The following is a 5386-nucleotide window of genomic DNA, read 5'->3' on the forward strand; positions in this document are numbered from 1 at the left end:
ACAGGCATGAGCCACCATGCCTGACCATAAGTGCTTATTTTTCTTTAGGCCAATTAACTAGTTCTTTTTTTTTTCCTTCTTCTTTTTTGAGACAGAGTCTTGCTCTTGTTGCCCAGGCTGGAGTGCAATAGCGTGATCTTGGCTAACTGCAACCTCCACCTCCTGGGTTCAAGTGATTCTCCAGCCTCAGCCTCCTGAGTAGCTAGGATTACAGGTGCCCACCACCACACCCAGCTACGTTTTGTATTTTTAGTAGAGATGGGGTTTCACCATGTTGGCCAGGCTGGTCTCAAACTCCTGATCTCAGGTGTTCCACTCACCTCAGCTTTCCAAAGTACTGGGATTACAGGCATGAGCCACTGGGCCCAGCCTAGGGCTCTTTTATGTAAACTTCACACACATATAACACATACATAACTACACAAACAGACAGTAAAAGATCCAGTAATTGTAAGATTTTTTATTTGCCATTCTCCTAATTGGATTATTGGCCTCAGGGTGGAGCCTTTTAAGAGATAGTCTAGGAAACCATGCAGTTTCTAAGGCTTAATAATCAGGTATAGCTGGAAGACAAAAAATAGATTTTGAGAGGGACCTATCAACTTCTAATTCCTGGAGTTCCATGAGGAAAACAGAGGTTTCACCCAAAATGGAATCAGTGGCGCCTTTTCTGTTTTTCCCAAGAAGTCCCAGGCCATCTGAAATTATAACTTAGGGCCTCTCATGCATGCATTAAGAGTGCCAAGACAAAATGGAGAAAAAGAATTCAATCGACTGAGAAGAAAAAAAAACTTTTTCTAGAAAAACAAGATCCAGAAAGAGAAAAACATAAAGCCCTTTTAAATGTACCTATAGCTTGGATATCCACTTTTAATTAAGCTAAGCACTTTTTAAGAAAATCCTTTTGAGGACTAAACTCTGATTTTTTTTATCTTGCCCAAATTCCTATCTAATGAGTCTGGGGAGTCATGCCCTACAAATAATAAATTCTCATCAGATGGGTTTTATTTGACTGTATATATTGTTACTTGCTTTCCAACCTGACTCTGGCATAACATTATGAGACAAGGAAGAAAATCAAAATATTTTACCCAAAACATGTTTCTTTGCTATATCGTGAAATGGCCCTGCAAAGCTGTGCTTTGTGGGGGAAATTTTGCATCTGTAAAGAATCTCTATTAACATAGCTAGATCTTTTATTCCAGGCCCTCCCAATCCTAAAGAAATTAACTAAAAGTCTAGCACCTTTTAAAGATCTAAATAGGAAATAATTTGTCATCTATTATCTCTAACCAGCAGCCACTATAAGACTTCAAAAGAACCTTTTGTTTGTTTGTTTGTTTTTCGAGAAGAGTTTCACTCTTGTTGCCCAAGCTGGAGTGCAATGGTGCGATGGTGCAATCTTGGCTCATTGAAACCTCCGCTTCCTGGGTTCAAGTGATTTGTCTCATGTGTCCGTGTGAAGAGACCACCAAACAGGCTTTGTGTGAGCAACATGGCTGTTTATTTCACCTGGGTGCAGGCGAGCTGAGTCTGAAAAAGGAGTCAGCAAAGGGTGGTGGGATTATCATTGGTTCTTATAGGTTTTGGGATAGGCGGTGGAGTTAAGAGCAATGTTTTGGGGGCAGGGGGTGGATCTCACAAAGTACATTCTCAAGGGTGGGGAGAATTATAAAGAAACTTCTTAAGGATGGGGGAGATTATAAAGAACCTTCTTAAGGGTGGGGGAGATTACAAAGTTCATTGATCAGTTAGGGTGGGGCAGAAACAAATCACAATGGTAGAATGTCATCAGTTAAGGCTATTTTCACTTCTGTGGATCTTCAGTTGCTTCAGGCCATCTGGATGTATATGTGCGGTGACTGGGGATATGATGGCTTAGCTTGGGCTCAGAGGCCTGACATGATTCTCTTGCCTCAGCCTCCCGAGTAGCTGGGATTACAAGCGTGCATCACACGTCTGGCTAATTTTTTGTACTTTTAGTGAAAACAGGGTTTCACCATGTTAGCCAGGCTGGTCCTGAACTCCTGACCTCAGGTGATCTGCCCGCCTTGGTCTCCCAAACTGCTGGGATTAGAGGTGTGAGCCATTGCGCCTCAGCCTCAGCTTTTTTATCTTTTTAACCTTTAAAAAAGATAAAAATATTTTATCTTTTTTTTTTTTTTTGAGATGGAGTCTCGCTCTGTTGCCCAGGCGGAAGTGCAGTGGCACAATCTCGGCTCACTGCAACCTCCACCTCCCGGGTTTGAGCAGTTCTCCTTGCCTCAGCCTCCTGAATAGCTGGGATTACAGGCACATGCCACCACGCCCAGCTAATTTTTGTATTTTTAGTAGAGATGGGTTTCACCATGTTGGCCAGGCTGCTCTTGAACTCCTGAACCTCAGGTGATCCACCTGCCTTGGCCTCCCAAAGTGCTGGGATTACAGGCAGGCAGCCACAGTCTTTTATCTTACCCTGAACATTTCCTGTCTATGATCCCAGGTCTTTAGATAAACTCAACCAATTGTCAACCAGAAAAATGTCTAAATTTACCTATAGCTTGGAAGCCCCTGCTTTGAATTGTCCCACCCTTCTAGTCCAAACCAATGTATTTCTTAAATGTATTTGATTGATGTCTCATGCCTCCCTAAAATGTGTAAAACCAAGCTGCGCCCTGACCACCTTAGGCACATGTTCTCAGGACCTCCTGTGGATGGTGTCACAGGCCATGGTCATTCATATTTGGCTCACAATAAATCTCTTCTAATATTTTACAGTTTGACTCTTTCCATTGACACTTTTACTACCCTTGTTATGCGACTTTAGCCATGCCAAGCGGCCAATATTTCTGGCATTTGAACTTTACCAAAATTAACCTCACCGGTGAAATCCACAAAACTCAATTAAGTTTATGACTTTATCACCAGTGTATGAGGTATTTTCAAAGAGGTAGTAAGCAGTTTTTACAAAATCTAGAAATTTTAAAGGTAGCTCAGAGAAAGGAAGTTTCAAGAAAGGAAGCTATAAGTTGTTCATGAAGCGGAAGAGAATCAGCAAATGGTAAAAGTCACACAGATATTAACCAGAAAGTATTCATCCCCTAAGCCAAGACTGAACCCAGGCCACCATTGTAGAATGCCAGAGACCAAAACAAACTACTGCCACATGGCTCTAGGTCACCCTCACAAGGACACAAAACAAGATAGAGGCCTACAGCAAGGTTTGTTACTGCCAGTTTGCTGGGCTGACTTGAACAGCAGGCTTATGGGGTCCTGGGCCCACATCCTATTCTAAGGTGCTCCTCTTTTTGACAGAACCAAACAGAAAGACATGCAAAACACACCAGGTTGGCTACAGCTTGACACCAACCTCATAAGTCCTTTTTTGTTAATCAAAACTTCAGAGAATATAAACCATGATCCTTACCTTTCCTTTTACCAGTTTGCATGGGGAGAGGGAGGCCACAAGTCCAACAGGTAAAAAAAAACTTGTACCCTTTTTCCGGCATGTCAGGCTTCTGGGTTCCCTTCCCCTAGGCTCAATTCTGAGCCAACCAGTTTAAGGTTTGGGAAATTAACTTTTCCAAGTGTGAAGGATGCATCCCAGGGGAGTGTCCTATAGTACGGGGACGTGATTACCCATCTGTGAAGAGAGGACTGAGGGGGAAAAAGGGAAAAGAAGGCATTGTTTTTAAAGGAGCCCAGGACTCAGGATGCATTCAAAAGGGGCACAGACTGAAGATGAATGGCTACTCATCTAGAATGAGAGGAGCAAGCGTCCCTTATTCTTTTCTCTTCCTAGACAATATCCAGCTTATGTGAGGGAGAGAAGGAAGAGGCTTTCATTTTCTTTCTTCTGTCCTTATATCCCTGAGTCCTGGCGACCACAACAGGGTGCAACCCATGGGTGTCAATGTGGCTTTTCACCCATGTTAACAGAGGGGCTGGGGGTGGGATTATCCACTCTTACCCACATACTGCCTTTCTCCCTGCTGTCAGTAGCCTTCAGGTTCCCTATATCTCATTTATGCCATGGATACTAGCATGACCTCTATCCTTGAAATGGGAGTCTTGGTTTAATCGGCAAGAATTAATCATGCTCATGTGAGCTGTCCCTTTTGACTTCTGTTGTCTTATGCCTCTGGATCCCTCAGATCCAGTTTTCTTTCCTAGAGCTTCAACCCAAAGCTTGGAATTTAGGTTGGGACAAAAATTTGTCTCAGCAGGGTGCACGGACTCATTAAGTCCCAGGTGAAGCTGTGGAACTGGGTCCTCTTCCAACAAGGAGAGAAAAGGGAGTCTTGTGAATTGGAGTCCCAGCCTAGTAAAACGCCTTTCAAGAAAAAGCCTCTGGCACAGAGAAGCCCCTGTACTCGCAGGGATGGGTTATTAAGTTAGTGCAAAAGCAAGTGCAGTCCCCACCATTCTAAGTAATGTCAAAAACCGCAACTACCTTTGCACCAACACACCAACTCCTGATATGGTGGAGAAAAGAAAAAGAAACAGCTTAAGTGTAGGGCGGGGAAATGCCTGGGGAAGAAACCTCTTATTCGTATGCAAATGGTTTCTCCAACAGGGAGATAAACTTTTAATTTAAAAAAATTTTTTTTGAGACAGAGTCTGGCTTTGTTGCCCAGGCTCGGGTACAATGGCATGATCTCAGCTCACTGCAACCTCCACCTCCCAGGTTCAAGCAATTCTTCTGCCTCAGCCTCCTGAGTGGCTAGGACTGCAGGTGTACATCACCATGTCCAGCTAATTTTTTTTGTATTTTCAGTAGAGACAAAGTTTCACCATTTTGGCCAGGCTAGTCTCAAACTCCTGACCTCAGGCGATCTGCCCACCTTGGCCTCCCAGAGTGCTGGGATTACAGGTGTGAGCCACTGCACCCAACCCAAGAAACTTTTAATTGCTGTTTCCTTCTTCCTGGCTCTCCCTAGTACGTGGTGGGAGGGCACTGTGAGTGGGAGATGCTGGCCAGCTGGCCATACAGGGCTCTTGGGCTATGCATCCTGTGTGGGAGGGGGAGGGGGCTGGGAGCCGCCACTCAACCATTTATCCTCTGTGTGCACCTGTGGCCATTGGGGTGGGGGTGGAACACCCCTAATATTGTAAAACAAAGATAGGTGCCATTATAATCCTGAAAAAAAGAAGAAAAATCCCAGAGAAAAGACTGGATTAGACTGAGGCCAACATTCCCAACCCCCAAGAGTGACAGTGGTGGGGGCCGTTTCTTCTGCTTTTAGAAAAAGTCTGAGGAAAAGAAGGCTCGGAAACAAAAGGGAAAGAGATTTTTGAGTCCACATTATACTCACCCTTCCTCTTGTCCCCTTATGGGTCAATGAAATGATGGAGGATTGTTTGCTCCTTAGCTCAACTAAATCTGGGTTCTTGTCTCATGACCACG

At 44.1% G+C, this 5386-nt stretch overlaps 1 annotated feature.

The window, feature by feature from the left end:
• Positions 992–1545: an enhancer, noted in NCBI's record as "NANOG hESC enhancer chr3:33504525-33505078 (GRCh37/hg19 assembly coordinates)". NCBI's record gives its function as "activates a minimal SCP1, AML or CMV promoter by ChIP-STARR-seq in naive H9 embryonic stem cells {active_cell/tissue: H9 hESC(naive)}" and the evidence as "EXISTENCE:reporter gene assay evidence [ECO:0000049][PMID:30033119]".

The sequence above is a fragment of the Homo sapiens genome, chromosome 3, assembly GCF_000001405.40.
Source record: "Homo sapiens chromosome 3, GRCh38.p14 Primary Assembly".
NCBI classification, from domain to species: Eukaryota; Metazoa; Chordata; class Mammalia; order Primates; family Hominidae; genus Homo; species Homo sapiens.